This window comes from Homo sapiens, chromosome 17, assembly GCF_000001405.40.
Source record: "Homo sapiens chromosome 17, GRCh38.p14 Primary Assembly".
In the NCBI taxonomy this organism is placed as follows: Eukaryota; Metazoa; Chordata; class Mammalia; order Primates; family Hominidae; genus Homo; species Homo sapiens.
The window spans coordinates 78,653,900-78,671,241 of record NC_000017.11 but is presented as its reverse complement, the minus strand read 5'-3'; the positions used below and the strand labels follow the sequence as shown (position 1 = coordinate 78,671,241).

Here is a 17,342-nt window from a genome sequence, read left to right as displayed (position 1 = left end):
AGTCCCGCGACTGACCCTGCTGCTACCCGCTGTGGGCCCCTATGTGTGCCTGTGCAATTCCGGCCCGTTCCAGGCTCCCCTTTCCACCTCTGACTGCTTGTGGGACGTCTCCACCAGAGTGGCTGCCGGGCCTCCCCAGCTCAGCCTGTCCACAGCTGATAGCCCCAAGACTGCCCCTTGTCCTGGGGACTCTGCTGCCACCCTCAGAGAGCCTGTGTAGGCTTGGAGCCCTTTCTCATGTGTCTCCCCCTCTCTCCCTACACCCAGGCATTCCCAAGCCCTCCCTGTGGACCTCTGGAGTGGCTCCTCCAGCCACTGTCGCCGCCCCAAGACCTTCATCACAGGCCTGGCCCGCGGGGGTGGCTTCCCCACTGGTCTGCGGACCTCTAGGCTTTGCCATCTTCTACTCCGTGATTGATGCGGCTGTGGAATTTTCATCTACTGATCATGTCATTCCTCCATTTAGTAAAACAAGCAAACAGAACCTGTCCCTTTGCTTGCAGAAGAGAACGTGAATCTGCATGATGCTCAAGGCCTTCTCCACCAGGCTCTGTTCGCCTTATCTCTAGCTGTTTCTATCCTTAACTGCGCCCTCCCTGCCCTGTGTCCCAAGCTCTTGCTCCACAGCCACCGTTTAATAGCTAATAGCTTTGCTCATGAGACTTCCTTTTGCCATCTCCTCTGCCAGCCTGTTTGTGCAAAACCTTCTCATTCTTCGAAGCCTTGCGCCGTCCAGATTGGCCCAGCTTTTTCCCCAGGCTGAAGGGCCTCCTCGTGCTCCTGAGCAGTGAGTCCACTCGGTTCTGGGATGGCTTATGCGGACGTGCCTGTCTCCATGGTTGTGTTGGGAGCAGGAGCCGTGAGGCGTTTGTTCCCTGCTTCTAACCTGATGGAGCAGGTCCCATGCGCCCAGCGCTGGGCTTCATGCCTGTCAGTGCGCGTGAGGCTGCACGTCACAGAGAGCTCACCTAGTGGGGACATGACTCATGAGGACACAAATAAGAACAGGAAGTCCCAAATGTGCGCTCCAGGTTGTTCGGCTGCCCTGGGATGTAACCCGGAGCTTTCCTCCTCCTCCGCTCTCCTGGAACACTCATATTGACCCGGTCGTGGCACAGTTAGAAGGAGGGGATACCATATCCTCACACAGTGGCACTCAGAAGGAGGAGCAGGGAGCGAGGGGCAGCCAGGGCCCCCCATGCTTGCCTCCCTTCATCAAGGAGGAAGTGTCTTTCCCCGGATTCCCTGCAGACGTGTCCTTACGTTTCAGCATCACCCTGGGTCTCGTCTCCACCTCTCAGCCAATCCTCCGCTTAGGCCCATTTGATGCCTCACTGGGGCTGGGCACACATCCTGCAGACACAGTTGGGGTACCGTGGGCCGGACGCCGGCAAGCAGAGGGTGGAGAATGGATGCTAGGTCGGCAGAAAGGCTGTGGCCGCCAAAGGTGGAGACTGGGAGCAGTGAGAACCCGTGTCTGGCGCTCAGAGTCTGGGTAGAGCAGACATGAGAAAATTGAGTGAAGTGATCCCGGGGTGTGGGGGGCTAACCCCAGGAGCAAACAGGTGGGCGGCTATTGGAAAGAGCAAGCGGAGGAGGTAACTTGAACGGGCTGATGAGGGAAGGCCCCACTGAGAAGAGGTTGCTGAGCTGAAGAGGAGGCCACCAGGCAAGGGCCCGGGGCGCCGCTTAGAGTAGGGTAGCTAGTGGTGGGGTGGAGGGATCCTGAAGGAATTGCTGGGATGGGCTGGCTAAGGCCTGGGGTGGCAGGGGATGCAGAGGAGAGGTCAGCAGGGGCCAGATGGAGCGGGACCAGGGCCATGGTAGGGGACGTCTGAGGTGGCGTGGAGCTTGGGGGCTGGAGAGGGACTCTGGCTGCTGGAGGGAGAATTGTTGGGGGAGGACAGTGCCAGCACGAGGCTGTGACATGACTCAGTTGGGGGTGATGGGGATTGTACTGGGACAACCGTGAGAGAGGTGTAGGGGACAATTAAAAATTCATGATGTGCCTTCGAGGGAGGGGCAGCAGAACTTGGAGGTAGAAATGGAGGGAGAAGGAGAAATCAGGATGAGTCCTAAGTGTTGGGCCTGGGCAGCCGACAAGGACAGACTTGGGCTGGAAATCCAGGTTCTCTTCTGGAGGTGTCAAGAAGAGGATGACTCTTATAATGGCCGGCAGGTGGGGAGCTGGCTGGTCACATTGGGAGCTCTGCAGAAAGATGAGTGACCACCTACTGGTCACATGTGGCTTCCCAATGGTCCACCTGGGGAAGGGCTTGTGGTTCATGGCCTCAGTAAAACTTGTTTAGTCCTAAACGGGTCATGTTAAGAATTCCTTTGTTATTTTTCATGCTTTAAGGCCCAGGAAAGGCCTGGGCAAAACTCTTGGCAGGCTTTTGTTACATCCCAGCCTTTGTATAAGGGGGCCAGCTCTCTCAGCTTTTATTTTTGTTTTAATTTTTTTTGAGATGGAGTCTCACTCTGTCGCCAGGCTGGAGCGCAGTGGCATGATCTTGGCTCACTGCAACCTCCACCTCCCGGGTTCAAGTGATTCTCCTGCCTCAGCCTCCCAAGTAGCTGGGAATACAGGTACGTGGCACCATGCCCAGCTAATTTTTGTATTTTTAGTACAGACGGGGTTTCAGCATGTTGGCCAGGGTGGTCTCGATCTCTTGACCTCGTGAACCGCCCGCCTCGGCCTTCTAAGTGCTAGGATTACAGGCGTGAGCCACCGTGCCCGGCCGGCTTTTAATATTTAACTTCACCACGTGGTCAGTGCTGAAACAGTTGTTATGGAGGCCTGCGTTAGTGAGCCTGGCCTGCCACAAACCCACAAACATCTACCAGTGTGATCTACACCGTTAACAGAATGAAGGAGAAAACGGGGTGATCATCTCCATCGATGCAGGAAAAGCATTGGACGAAATGAAACTCCACCAGGAAATACACCCAACGGGGCAGGCGCAGAAGGAACCCTTTCAACACAAGCAAGGCCTACTGCGGGACACACTTGAGACAGTATCGTCCCCTCCTTCCCAGGCCCCAAAGAAGGACTGGGGCAAGTCCAGCCTGGTGAGTAGCAGAGTTGATGGGGACCCGCACACAGGGCACTGCCGGACAGCAGCAGGACAGCTCGAGAGATCCACGCCGCCCCCATCTCTAGGCTGCTTTTACGCTGATTTTCTGGCTCTTTGCCTACTGTGTGTGTGTGCCATGGGACTTTTCCTTGGCGGGTTCTCAGATCCTCTCTGGGCTGTGTGGGTTCTCAGGGACACCTACTCCTTGGCTGGGCACCGTGGCGTGGACTCACCATGTGGCCTTCAGGGTTCAGGCAGCAGACATATGCCCTTAAGTAACCTGGTGGAGGACCTGTCACAGTACAAGGCCATCTATGAAAACACCACAGCCAACCTCATACTCAACGGAGAGAGATTGGAAGCTTTTCCTCTAAGATCAGGATCAAGACAAGGATGCCTGCTTTTGCCACTTCTCCTCAACATGGTCCTGGATGTTCTAGCCAGGGCAATTAGGCAAGAAAAAGAAGGTCTCCAAGTTGGAAAGGAAAAAGTAAAATGATCTCTGTTTGCCATGCCATGATTTTACATATACACACACACACACACACACACACACACACACACATATATACACACACACACCCCCACACACACACCCCCCACACACACATATATATATGTAAAACCCTAAAGATTCTACACACACACAAAAAAACGGGGAGGTAATAAGTGGATTTGGCAAAGCTGCAGGATACAAACTCCACGCATGAAGCGGTGGCCTGGGGGGAGGAGCTTTGGCCACCCCTCCCAAGCCCACCCTCTGAGGTTCTTGGGAAGTGTTTCTCTGCCTCCATGTCAAAAGGTCCTGCTCACGTCCTGCCCTGGGTGGGGCAGGGAGCCCCAGTGCTCGGGGCCTCCCCAGGATGTTTGGGTTCTCAGGGACACCTGCTCTTGGCTGTGCTCTGTGTCCACACCCAAACGCATCTTGTAGCTCCCATAATTCCCACGTGTTGTGGAAGGGACCCGGTGGGAAATGACTGAAGTGTGGGGACGGGTCTTCCCCGTGCTATTCTCATGATAATGAATGGGTCTCACCAGATCTGATGGTTTTAAAAAATGGGAGTTTCCCTGCGCAAGCTCTCTCTTTGCCTGCCGCCATCCACGTAAGGTGTGACTTGCTCCTCCTTGCCTTCTGCCATGAAGGTGAGGCCTCTCCAGCCACGTGGAACTGTGAGTCCAATTAAACCTCTTTCTTTTGTAAATGCCCAGCCTCAGGTATGTTTTTACCAGCAGAGTGAAAAGGAATGAATACAGCTGGGCAACATGGCCTGGGCTAACCACCTGGCCTTCAGGGTTCAGGCAGCAGACATACACCCCTAAGTAACCTGGCCCTGGGGCCCGGCTGCCCTGGGGCCACACATACTCTCTGCGTTGCTCAACCAACAATGAGTCCTTGAGGGCTGTCTCTGGCAGCTCCGGCCTGAGTGCAGCAGCGAGCTGCTGGCGCTAATCAAGGCACCAGCCTGTCTCTCCACCCTCACTCCCAGACCAGCGGCCAGTGTCACATCTAGAGGATCAAGCTCAACCTCCCCTCCATGGTGACACTTGACACCACCCCAAATGTGCTCCCAGCTATCCCACCGCAGCCTCCTGCTGACCGAAATCAAGACTGTTGAGGCAGAAATAATATTCTTCCTTTTTTTTTTCCCAATGTTTTTTCTTTTTTGACTGCTCTGGCAGAGCAGGGTTACCCCATAGGCAGAGAGTAGCTGAGGCAGAAATACTGTGATCTGGTTTACTGGAAACCGGAAGTGAGGATGAACCCCGGCAGACATGCCAACAAAGGTGGGCGTGTCCTGGGGCCTGCTCCAAGCTGGAAGCCTTTTAGAGGAGAGTGTAGAGGGGGACTCCTCACATTGGAGCTGTCCTTTTCACTGGACGGTACAATACAGAGGTTACAGTCACTGACTGCAGATGACAACATACAGGCTAAAATGTCTGTGAGCAAGACAGTCAGTAAAACTTCCTGGTTTCAGAATCCATCCTTGTCCTTTTTGATGTCTGTGGACTGCACACTAATCAGAATGTCAACAGCCTGAGGAAGTCGTGATAAGATTCTCTACTGAGGGACAGGATGCCGCCAGGAACCACAAGAGCTTCCCCGCCCGGGCAGGTTCATTTGGAAACCCCTTTGCCTTTAAAGTAAACTGCCACATGTGACCCGATAGGTTATCAGCACGCCACAGGGACGGCTTTGAGGAATAATTATTCAGAATGATGCCTTTTTTCTTTTCTCCTTTTAAATCTCCTTGCGAGGTCTGGTCGAGATTTAGCTTCCATGGCTGTTGATACTTGAAGGGAATCAAGCCTTCCCACCAGGCTGGTGCAGGATGAGATGCTGGGCCCCGGCAGGTGCCAGCCCTCTTCTAACACCCATTCTCTAACTCAGTCCTCATAGCAGCCCCGAGATGAAAGCAGTGCTGCTAGGGCTCATTGCTACCACGATCACAGCCGCCCGCAGCTCTCCCCAGCCCCTTCCCTGCCCAGTGGCACCTCATGACTTATTCCTCTGTCTCCCTGTCCCAGGATGTAAAATCAGTGAGGGCAGGAGCTTTTTTTCACACCTATATTCCCTGTACTTGGAACGGTGCCTGATAGATAGTAGGTGCTCAGTACGTATTTGTTGAATAAATGACAATGTCATGAATGAATGCACGAATGATAAAGACAGGAAAACCGAGGTTCAGAGACATTTAGAAACGTACGTATCCAGGGGCTCGCAGAAACAGGGAAGTCAGAATTGGGCCCCAGGTCAGCCGGATCCCCAAACCCACCCTGTTTCCAGTGTCCAGGTTTCTCCACCACAGATTCAGAGATGGGAACTAAGTTGACATCATTGTTGGACCTGTTCCAAATGTCTTGAACTTCTGAGCTAACAAATAATTATTGGAGCAATTGAAGCTGAGGGTGGATTTCATGTTTCCCGGTTCATGCCCTGTGTGATTTAACACGTCTGACGGCTGCAGCGTCGGAACTATCCGCCATGAGCTAGAGGTGCCCCTTGCGTAGCCTTGTCCCTGGTGCCTTGGACACCACGGACAGCCACGAACACCCAGAGAGGATCTGGTCTCCCGCCCCGGGACCACAGTAGGCTCCACACTGGTTTCCCTCCAGCCAGTTTCCCATGGTGTTGCCTGGTCTTTTCAGGGCTCAGATAATGTGATTGTGTCCCACCAGCCACCTCCTGGAAACCCCTCAAAACACCTTCCTGACAATGGGGTAGCCCCAAACTCCTTAGAGGGGGAGACTGCACCTCCCAGGCTGGAGTCCCTTTTGGCCTCCCCATTCCATCTCCTGCAGCCTCCCCCGACAGCCCTGCTCCAGCCATGGGACTGAGGGGACCTGGAATGCTGCTGCCTTAGCCCTGCTCATTCCCAGCCATGGGTCTCGCCCACCCCTCTCCCAGCCAGGTGAGCGCCTGCTCATTCTTCAAAGCGCCTTCTCATTTATTGGTGGAACACTGCTCTAGTGCACACCAGCCCCGTGGGTACAGAGATAAGGACGGCCCGTGGGAGGGTTCGAGGGGCTTTACACCGTCCACAGGCAGACAAGCGTGCATGTATGTGGATGATGGCCGCCTCAGGGAATCACCCGGGGCCTTAGGAACCCAGCCTAGGGCCCTCCATCCTAAGCTGGGGCTGGGTGGCAAAGAGAGACGCCAGGAGGGCTCCTGGAGGAGGAATTCCCCTAAAACCGGGACCCCAGCTTCCTTCACCCGAGAGCCCCCCGATGTCATCAGCTTTGTTCAGGTGCTTGTGTGACGCAATGCTATTAACTCACACCGAACCGAATCCACTCACACCTGTCAGGTATTCGCCCATTCATGCTGATGATGTCTTAGAGCAGCGCCCCCGCCCCATGCTTGTGCTACTGGTTTCTGAACTCTGCACGCTGCCTTGTTCAAGGGTAACTTGTGTGTGTCTGCTCCATAGCATCTGGTGCACCCTTTCGGTCACAGGAAAAGGGGTGGAGACCACTAAGTTCTCACATTGTGCTGGGCACCGTCGGTGACAGCAGACATCACACATCACAGCCCGAGCCCATTGGCCTCACTCAAGGTGCAGACAAATTAGCCCCCTGTTCAGGGCCCAAGGGATACCATGGAGACTTGAGGGGGCACCTTCCTGAAATACCAGTGCACTGCAACCTCTGCCTCCCGGGTTCAAGCGATTCTCCTGCCTCAGCCTCCCGAGTAGCTGGGATTACAGGCATCTGCCACCACGCCTGGCTAATTTTTGTATTTTTAGTAGAGACGGGGTTTCGCCATGTTGACCAGGCTGGTCTCGAACTCCTGACTTCAGGTGATCCGCCTGCCTTGGCCTCCCAAAGTGCTGGGATTACAGGCGTGGGCCACCGCACCCAGCCTCCTTCTAATTTTAAAAAATAAATAGAATATGTGTTCTGGCTTCCACTTAGGATACAGAAAGCTAGAAGGAGCAAAGTTCTCACCATATCTAGAAGAAAGACCCAGAAAATCTGCAAATTTTCTTTATCCATTCATCTGTTGATGGACACTTAGATTGCTTCCAAATTTTGGCTATTGTGGACAGAGCTGCAACCAACATGTAAGGGCAGGTATCTCTTTGATCTACTGATTTCCTTTCTTTGGGGTACAGACTCAGCAGTGGGATTGCTGGATCATATGGTAGCTGTATTTTTAGTTTTTTGAGGAACCTCCATGCCTTTCTCCATACTGGCTGTATGGACCCTCTGCTCTGTTTCATCCATCTCTGTCTATACTTATGCCAATACCATATTGCCTTGATTGTTGTAGCTTTATAGCAAGTTTGGCAGTCAGAGATAGTAAAAAGTCCTCCAATTTTTCAAAATCATTTTGCCCATTTTAAGTCTTTTTCATTTTCATATAAATTTAAAGTCAACTTATCAATTTCCATAAAATGCTTGATGGAATTTTGATTGGGAATACATTAAATCTCTAGATCAATCATGGGAGAACTGACATCTAACAATATTGCAGCTTCTGATGCATACATAAACAGGGCTTATTTCTTCGTTTATTTAGGTCTTCTTTAATTTCCCTCAGTAATGTTTTACAGTTTTTACCTTATAGGTCTTGCACATATTTTGTTAAATTTGTCCCTAAGTTTCTCATCCATTTCGATGCTATTATAAATTATAAATACTTTTACTTTTTTTTTTTTTTTTTTTTTTTTCGAGACAGAATCTTGCTCTGCCACCCAGGCTAGAGTGCAGTGGTGCAATCTCGGCTCATTGCAACCTCCACCTCCCGGGTTCAAGCGATTCTCCTGCCTCAGATGGGATTACAGATACCTGCCACCATGCCTGGCTAATTTTTGTATTTTTAGTAGAGACGGGGTTTCACCATGTTGGCCAGGCTTGTCTCAAACTCCTGACCTCAAGTGATCCGCCTGCCTCGGCCTCCCAAAGTGCTGGGATTACAGGCATAAGCCACTGCGCCCAGCCTATAAATACCATTACTTTAAAAGTTTAATAGCTATTTGTTTGTTACTAGTATATACATATATGATTGATTTTTTGATTGATTTTTAATTGATTTTATATCTTGCAACCTTGTTAAATTCATTTATTAGTTCTAATCGCTTTTTTGCATATTTCTTGCGATTTTCTACATAGACGATCATATTGTCTGCAAGTAAAGCCAGTTTTATTTCTTCCTTTCCTTTTACTTTCTTATGTATGCCTTTATTTATTTTTCTTTCCTTATTCTACTGACTAGGACTTCTAGTGCAATACTGAATAGAGATGGTGAGGATGAGTTCTTTGTCTTGCTCTTGATCTTAGGGGAAAGCATTCAGTTCTTCATCTTTAAGTTTGATGCCACCTGTAGGTTTTTTTGTTTTTTTAGAGACAGAGTCTCGCTCTGTCGCCCAGGCTGGAGTGCAGTGGCGTGATCTCGGGTCACTGCAAACTCCGCCTCCAGGGTTCATGCCATTCCCCTGCCTCAGCCTCCCGCGTAGCTGGTACTACAGGTGCCAGCCACCACGCCCGGCTAATTTTTGTATTTTTAGTACAGACAGGGTTTCACCATGTTAGTCGGGATGGTCTCGATCTCCTGACCTCGTGATCTGCCCACCTTGGCCTCCCAAAGTGCTGGGATTACAGGCGTGAGCCACCGCGCCCGGCCCCAGCTGTAGGTTTTTCAGGGATGTACTTTATCAGGTTGGAGATGCTCCACCTGCTATTGTCCTAGTTTTCTGAGAGTTTTAATCAGGACTGAGTGTTGTCACATGGCTTTTCTGCACAGATGCAAATATTCATGATTTTTCTGTTTAGTGCATTAGCATGGCGAATCAAGTGGCTTTTTTTTTTCGTGGTAAATCAACTTTGCATTCCTGAGATAGAGCCCACTTGGTCATGATTTTTTAAGTGTATTTTTGGATTCGATTTGTTAATATTTTGTTAAGGATATTTTGCATCTGCATTCATGAAGGACAGGGTGATATGGTCCCTTCAACCGTGACACTAACTAGATGGTCAGCTCTGTGGGAAACGGGATTTTGTCTCTTCAGTTCGTCTCTGTGTTCCCAGCTCCTAAACAATGCTCGGCATGTTGTGGGCCCTCGGGGTGTGTCTGCTGAATAAACGATGCATGGGAATAAACCGCAGGCTGCTTCATGCCAGGCAGAATCATGTGAATCATTTATCAGAACCTGTTTCCTGCACCGAAGAGAATGTGGTTCAGGTGTGTTCACAGGCTGTCAGGATGGTTGTTCTAACTCTTAAAGCGGTTCTAACTCTTAAAGGGTGGAGGTGATCTGAAGCTGGAAGAGGAAAGAGAGAAAGAAGGAGCCTGCTTTGGGCAGCGTCACTGCTGTCTTCTAACTCTGGACCCACTTCTCTCCACCAGACGGCTCACTAAACTCCCCTCCCGACTGGGGTTTAGGCAGCTGCAGCACCTCTCCTTACACGGCTGGCGGGTCCTGGCATCCCTGCACCACCTTTGTTCACAATCTCACCACACTGAAGGCAGTGTGGTGTTTCTTCTGTTACACACAGATCCTGAACTCACCCTTCACGCTCTCATTTTCATCACCACTGTGATCCTTAAGTATCCATCGGGCGAATGGCCATGTGGCCACCACTCTGTGCTTGGCACCCCTCATTTCTCTGGTATTTCATATAAGAAATCGTGCTTATGGGCCGGGCGCGGTGGCTCACGCCTGTAATCCCAGCACTTTGGGAGGCCGAGGTGGGCGGATCACAAGGTCAGGAGATGGAGACCGTCCTGGCTAACACAGTGAAACCCCGTCTCTACTAAAAAATACAAAAAATTAGCCGGGCGTGGTGGTGGGCACCTGTAGTCCCAGCTACTCAGGAGGCTGAGGCAGGAGAATGGTGTGAATCCGGGAGGTGGAGGTTGCAGTGAGCCGAGATCACACCACTGCACTCCAGCCTGGGTGACAGAGCGAGACTTGGTCTCAAAAAAATAAAAAAGAAATCGTGCTTATGATTCACTGGCTCACTGCTACGTACTGGGTGCTCATATGCTATTTCTTTAGATTAAGTAAACTATGATGCTTCTCAGAGACAGATGTTTTCTTTTTCTTTCTTTTTTTTTTTTTTTTAGATGAAGTCTCGCTCTGTTGCCCAGGCTGGAGTGCAGTGGCACGATCTCGGCTCACTGCAACCTTCACCTCCTGGGTTCAAGCAATTCTCCTGCCTCAGCCTCCCGAGTAGTTGGGACTACAAGTGCACACCACCACACCTGGCTAAATTTTTTTTTTGGTTTGTATTTTTAGTAGAGACAGGGTTTCATTGTGTTAGCCAGGATGGTCTCGATCTCCTCACCTTGTGATCCGCCTGCCTCGGCTTCCCAAAGTGCTGGAATTACAGGCGTGAGCCACCGTGCCCAGCCGACAGATGTTTTCATAGTCTGGAAATCGAGGCGCGCTCACTGGCCAAAGTGTGCAGTGGACAGGGTCTGGGCTGTTTCTCTTGTTTGTGCTGCTCCTCCTCAGAATGGCCAAACCCTGTAGCTGTGTCCTGTGCTCTGGTCATTGGCCTGTCTGGCCGCCCTCAGTAACATCACCACTGATATGGTTTAGCTGTGTCCCCACCCAAATCTCATCTTGAATTATAGCTCCCATAATTCCCTCATGTTGTGGGAGGACCCAGTGGGAGATAATTGAATCGTGGGGGCAGTTTCCCCCATACTGTTCTCGTGGTAGTGAATAAGTCTCACGAGATCTGATGGTTTTATAAGGGGAAACCCTGTTAGCTTGATTCTCATTCTTTCTTGCCTGCTGCCAGGTAAGATGTGCCTTTTGCCTTCTGCCATGATTGTGAGCCTCCCTCCTCCCGGCCCTAGCCATGCGGAACTGTGAGTCCATTAAACATCTTTTTCTTTATAAATTACCCAGTCTTGGGTATGTCTTTACTAGCAGTGTGAAAACCGACTAATACAACCGCCAAGGCTCAGTCCCCATCCCCGCCGCCGGTCAGGCCTCCTGCAGGTATCTGTCGTGGTCCCACCCAAGCTGCCCTCTGTCAACAGCTCCTGGGCTGGGATGCTGTCTCGCCGGCAGCCAGGGCGATGTTCCTCTCAGCCCCCCATGCCGTTCACAAGAAAATCCTCAGCATTTCTAAAATCTGTTATTTCATGGTATTTTCAAACTGGCATAAAGGTTGCAAGAATGGTACAGAGACGCCTCATATACCTTTCCCCGATCACCCATTTTAAAGCCTTCTCCCACATTTCACTTTTGCCATTCCTGTTCTTAGGATTTGAATTTCTGATTCTAGTTGTTTCTTTTTATATATCTCCAAGTGCCTGTGTTAAGATATCTAATTAGTCTGAAGGGCTGAATTACAGCTTTCTTCTATTGCATGGTTGATTTTGGGGCGAGGGATAGGGTGGGGTGGGGGGGGATCTGAAGTGCTTTGTTTCAGGTTTGTTTTTTTTCTTTCTTTCTTTTTTTCTTTTTTTCCAGACAGAGTTTCACTTTTGTTGCCCAGGCTGGAGTGCAGTGGTGTGAACTTGGCTCACTGCAACCTCCGCCTCTCAGGTTCAAGCGATTCTCCTGCCTCAGCCTCCCGAGTAGCTGGGATTACAGGCATGCGCCACCATGCCTGGCTAATTTTGTATTTTTAGTAGAGACGGGGTTTCTCCATGTTGGCCAGGCTGGTCTTGAACTCCCGACCTCAGGTGATCCACCCGCCTCAGCTTCCCAAAGTGCTAGGATTAGAGGCGTGAGCCACTGCGCCTGGCCTTCTATTTTGTGTAGAGTTGCTCCTGACCACTCCTGGCCACCCCCTTCATCACTCATTCATTCATCTAATGTTGACTGGGAAGAATGTTGAGTCTCCTAGACCCAGAAGCCAAAAGTACTGTCAGGCTTGAATCCTCTTGAGTCTTCCTCTCCTGCTGCGCCGTCTCCATGATCCCCGTCAGGAGGAACGTGGCAGCCTGTTAGTCTTCCTCTCCTGCTGCGCCATCTCCACGATCCCCGTCAGGAGGAACGTGGCAGCCTGTGGCCCGTGAGCAGCTGCACTTGGGGGCTGGGGCCATTCCAGGGCACCCGGATCCGGTGACTGCATATGAGGCTCCTGAATCTCATGTTTTCCTAAACTTTCCAAAATCAACAACAGGTGCCTGCCAGAAGGACGTTACTCGAATGAACAGACTACTGTTGGTGAGCAAATACAAAAGCATGTTTTTTGTGTTATTCCAATGGCATGACGCAGAGTCTTGAATACGGAGAAGTAAAGTGCTCCGGAGGGGCAGTGTGGCGGGGGCCGAGCCTCCTCGCCTGCCCTCCATGAGCTGTGCTGAACAAGTGGGGTGACCTCCCACCCTCCTGCAGGACCATGTTCTCTCCCTGGCTGGTCTCCTGGGCTCCAGCCTTTGGGCAGGGCTAGCCTCGGCCCTCACCCCTGGGTGACTATGTTGCCGGCTTTGGCCCTCACTATCTCTACACAGACCTTGCCCATCACACCCTGGAGGGCAGCAGCTTCACCCTTTACCGTTTGAATAAGGCCTCACTCAAGTGGCTGGACAGTAAGAGGCTCTCAGGGTCAGACCTGTGCAAAGGTGTCCTCACTGGAACTCTGCTTCCTGTGAAAGCAGCCCCCTGGGAGCTGGAGAAAAGTGGCCAATGTGGGAAGATACCGGATGCCAGGGCCAGGACTGACCCTGGGCTCAATTTTAAATTTTGATATTCACCTGTCTGTCACCTCCATGGTTTTGGTCCTTCTGGTTGGAGACGTCCTTGGTGAAGGAACTGGTGAGTGTTGGCCCTCAAGTTAGGAAACTTCAAGTCTGTCTCCCCTTGTGGCCTTCCGAGTCCCTCCTGCACACATCCACCTGGTGCCTTCCTGATTCTCAGGGTGCCTGGGGCAGAGCTTTGGCTTCCCCTACCTGAGCTCACACGTTGGTGATGGAAAGGAGGACCCCTTTTCTCCACTTGAGATCAGATCACAGCATTCGTGTTATCACAGTGAGGGCTCAAAAAATGCAACACAGAAAACATTCGGACCAGGAAGGGGGAGATCCAGATACATTTAGAAAGCAAGGACTCCAGCTAACATGCGTCAGAGTCAGGCCCATTATGGAGAACGTGGTCTCTCTCCTTCTTCTTCTACAAGCTCCCCTCTGCCCCGGTACATGCACACACACCCACCCACAAACTCCCCCATCCCCCCAAGACTTGACTCCTGTTTTCAGCGCACTTTTTTCTAACTAATAATCTAAATTTAAGAATCGGCTGAGCATGGTGACTCACGCTTGTAATCCCAGCACTTTGGGAGGCCAAGGGGGGTGGATCACCTGAAATTAGGAGTTCGAGACCAGCCTGGCCAACATGGTGAAACCCCTTCTCTACTAAAAATACAAAAAATTAGCTGGGCATGGTGGCAGGCACCTGTAATCCCAGCTACTCGGGAGGCCGAGGCAAGGAGAATCGCTTGAACCCTGGAGGCAGAGGTTGCAGTGAGCCGAGATCACACCATTGCACTCCATCCTGGGCAACAAGAGTGAAACTCCGTCTCAAAAAATAATAATAATCTAGGACAGAATAGTCTTTTCTGAATTACGGACTATAAAATCATCTTGGCCAGGCACGGTGGCTAATGCCTGTTATTCCCAGCACTTTAGGAGGCAGAGGCAGGAGGATTGCTTCAGGCCAGGAATTCAAGACCAGCCTGGGCAACATAGTGAGACCCCCCCCCGCCATCTCTAATTTTAAAATATTAAAATAATCATCCTATTGGCAAATGCCAGTCAGAAGGAAAATCTGCACCAGAATGCAAGAGGCTCAAATATGTGTGTAAAATCTGTCTGGTTAGTGGTGACAGGAAGTGGCAATAGCACCAGGTGCTGGGGAATGGCCTGTGCGTGGCACTCGCTGGAACAGGGTATGCTGGGCTAGGAGTCTGGGGGCAACGTCTCAGTCCACAAGACGTCACACTTGGAGGACATAGGGACTTGGTGGCTGCAGTTTTTCACATTTGGGAGAATGGAACACGGGACAGATGATGGGGACAGGGGGACACGAGGGTCAGGCCGAAACCAGGTCAGGCTGCGCAGTCAGCCCTCCTGCTTCTATTTTTTTTTTTTTTTTTTTTTTGAGATGGAGTCTCACTCTGTCACCCAGGCTGGAGTGCAGTGGCGCAATCTCGGCTCACTGCAAGCTCCACCTCCTGGGTTCACGCCATTCTCCTGCCTCAGCCTCCCAAGTAGCTGGGACAACAGGTGCCTGCCACCACGCCCGGCTAATTTTTTTGTAATTCGTATTTGTATTTGTATTTTTAGTAGAGACGGGGTTTCACTGTGTTAGCCAGGATGGTCTCGATCTCCTGACCTCGTGATCCGCCCGTCTCAGCCTCCCAAAGTGCTGAGATTACAGGCATGAGCCACTGCGCCCAGCCTATTTTTTAATTTTATTATTTTATTTTTTTCTGAGACAGAATCTCACTCTGCTGCCCAGGCTGGAGTCAATTGGCATGATCTTGGCTCACTGTAACCTCTGCCTTCCAGGCTCAAGCGATTCTCATGCCTCAACCTCCTGAGTAGCTGGGTCTACAGGTGTCTGCCACCAAGCCTGGCTAATGTTTTTGTATTTTTAGTAAAGACGGCATTTCACTATGTTGGCCAGGCTGGTCTCGAACTCCTGGCCTCAAGTGATCCTCCCACCTCACCCTCCCAAAGTGCTACGATTACAGGTGTGAGCCACTGCACCCAGCCAGCCTGCCTGCTTTTAGAGCCCTCCTGGTGTTAGGTGTTTAAGGAGAGCAGGTGCACCTAAAAGGGAAGCATGGGGAGTGGGGGAATAACATGGGGCCATGAGTGGATGGCAGAGTGGGGAGTGGTAGGGAAGGGCCGGGAAGGGCTGGGTTGGAAACTTCCAGGGAAATACAGCACATGACCCTTAGAGGTGGCTCATGATGGGGGAGCTCCAGCACCGATGACATGAGTGTTCAAGGGCTGTTGCTGACCACCCCTCAACCCCGCCCACCATTTGCCTCTCCTGCATGGAAGGTACTTAGCCAAGGAGAAGGCAGGCTTTTCTGAGGTGGTTGAGATTTCTGCCAAGGTCAAGCCTGCCCAGAGGATGCAGCTTAGAGGCGACACTACCTTCTGAGACCCTTGAACGGTTCACAACACAGAGACTTCCATGGGGTTGATATTGACACATCAGGCCCCTGATGTAAATTTACAGGAACATTCACCTGGCAGAGGCTGGTGTGGCTGGAGCATCCCATGCTGTGTGGATTTCATCAGATCACATGGATGCACGTGCACACAACATTTTGCCCACAAGGTTAGTGATCAACAGGCCCCTCACGCCAGTCTACGGACTGCAGGTTGTGTGACAAAGTCACACTCTTCACATGTATTTGGAAAGGGGGGGGTTTTGGAACAGCATCCAACATGGCAATATGAAATTGATCTTATCTCTTCCTACACGGATTTCCTGGGCGTGGTGGCTCACGCCTGTAATCCCAGCACTTTGGGAGGCTGAGGCAGGTGGATCACCTGAGGTCAGGAGTTTGAGACGAGCCTGGCCAACATGGTGAAACCCTGTCTCTACTAAAAATACAAAAATTAGCTGGGTGTGCTGGCATGCGCCTGTAATCCCAGCTACTTGGGAGGCTGAGGCAGGAGAATTGCTTGAACCTGGGAGGCGGAGGTTGGAGTGAGCTGAGATCGGGCCACTGCACTCCAGCCTGGGTGACAGAGTGAGACTCCATCTTAAAAAAAAAAAAATCTAATTTAAGTGGGAGTTTAGGGGAAACCCCATTGATACAATCATATCTGCTGGTGAAGAACTTTCTCTGAATAAATGGATTGATTGTGGAAATGCAGAAAGAAGTCACTTTCCCTGCGGTTCAAATGACAATCTGATAAAGAGTCTTAAACACAGATAAACCTCTAAAGAGCTGTTGAAAGACAGGGAGGGGTAAAACAAGAATGCAGGGTTATCCCATTTCCCCCCAGGAGACCCTCATTAGTTAATTTAGTTACTGAAGTTGCATCTGACACAGCATTTTGGTCATAAAGAGTTCATTGTTTTAGGCTCCTGCTATTGGCTACTTTGGTGGGAATGCTGACTAAGTAAGTCTTGGATGCTTGAAAGTTGGTTCAGGTTCATGAAGATGAGGACATTGCATAATTGTCCTGTCAAAATATTGCAAATGTCTAAGAAGTTATCTCTGTCAACTTTGCCAATGAACACATGACTCCAAGATTGAGTGAGGAAGTGCTCTCAGAATGGGGTGAAGAACAACCGTGTGTGTGTATGTGTGTGTATGTGTATCTGTGTGTACGTGTGTAGGTGTGTATCTGTGTGTGTATGTGTATGTATGTGGGTTTGTGTGTGTAGTATGTGTGTGTGTATGTGTGTGTGTCTTCCCAAGACTTGTGCCTTTACTAGAGAATGAAACGCAGTAAAGTTCACGTAAATTTGTAGCTAGCCTTGAAGAGGACTCAAATATAACAGAAGAGACAAGTGAATCCATTTGGTCCAATTCAACAAATACTCATGCACCCATGAGGTTTCAGGGTAGTGTGCGGGATGCTGGGTATACAGGGAGGGACGGCATGTGCCCCCAGCCTCAGGGCACACACGTGAAGCTAGAGGAAACAAGACTTATAAAAGCAGTGTCTTCAGGGCCAATTTCAAATCAGCCTAGATGTTTTAGTCTATTTCGGTTGCCGGTATATGTGTGTTTTTTAAATCAAGTGTTTATGGTCCCCTTCACATGATCATTCACTGCACAAATAAAATTATCCTTAAGGTTAATTATCCTGAAATCTGTATGAAT

At 50.7% G+C, this 17,342-nt stretch overlaps 5 annotated features.

The window, feature by feature from the left end:
- Positions 2,517-3,126: an enhancer, noted in NCBI's record as "H3K27ac hESC enhancer chr17:76664198-76664807 (GRCh37/hg19 assembly coordinates)". NCBI's record gives its function as "activates a minimal SCP1, AML or CMV promoter by ChIP-STARR-seq in primed H9 embryonic stem cells {active_cell/tissue: H9 hESC(primed)}" and the evidence as "EXISTENCE:reporter gene assay evidence [ECO:0000049][PMID:30033119]".
- Positions 3,127-3,737: an enhancer, noted in NCBI's record as "H3K27ac-H3K4me1 hESC enhancer chr17:76663587-76664197 (GRCh37/hg19 assembly coordinates)". NCBI's record gives its function as "activates a minimal SCP1, AML or CMV promoter by ChIP-STARR-seq in primed H9 embryonic stem cells {active_cell/tissue: H9 hESC(primed)}" and the evidence as "EXISTENCE:reporter gene assay evidence [ECO:0000049][PMID:30033119]".
- Positions 3,738-4,348: an enhancer, noted in NCBI's record as "H3K27ac-H3K4me1 hESC enhancer chr17:76662976-76663586 (GRCh37/hg19 assembly coordinates)". NCBI's record gives its function as "activates a minimal SCP1, AML or CMV promoter by ChIP-STARR-seq in primed H9 embryonic stem cells {active_cell/tissue: H9 hESC(primed)}" and the evidence as "EXISTENCE:reporter gene assay evidence [ECO:0000049][PMID:30033119]".
- Positions 4,349-4,960: an enhancer, noted in NCBI's record as "H3K27ac-H3K4me1 hESC enhancer chr17:76662364-76662975 (GRCh37/hg19 assembly coordinates)". NCBI's record gives its function as "activates a minimal SCP1, AML or CMV promoter by ChIP-STARR-seq in primed H9 embryonic stem cells {active_cell/tissue: H9 hESC(primed)}" and the evidence as "EXISTENCE:reporter gene assay evidence [ECO:0000049][PMID:30033119]".
- Positions 16,609-16,809: a silencer, noted in NCBI's record as "peak3019 fragment used in MPRA reporter construct". NCBI's record gives its function as "represses an SCP1 promoter by STARR-seq MPRAs in K562 erythroleukemia cells {active_cell/tissue: K562}" and the evidence as "EXISTENCE:reporter gene assay evidence [ECO:0000049][PMID:32103011]".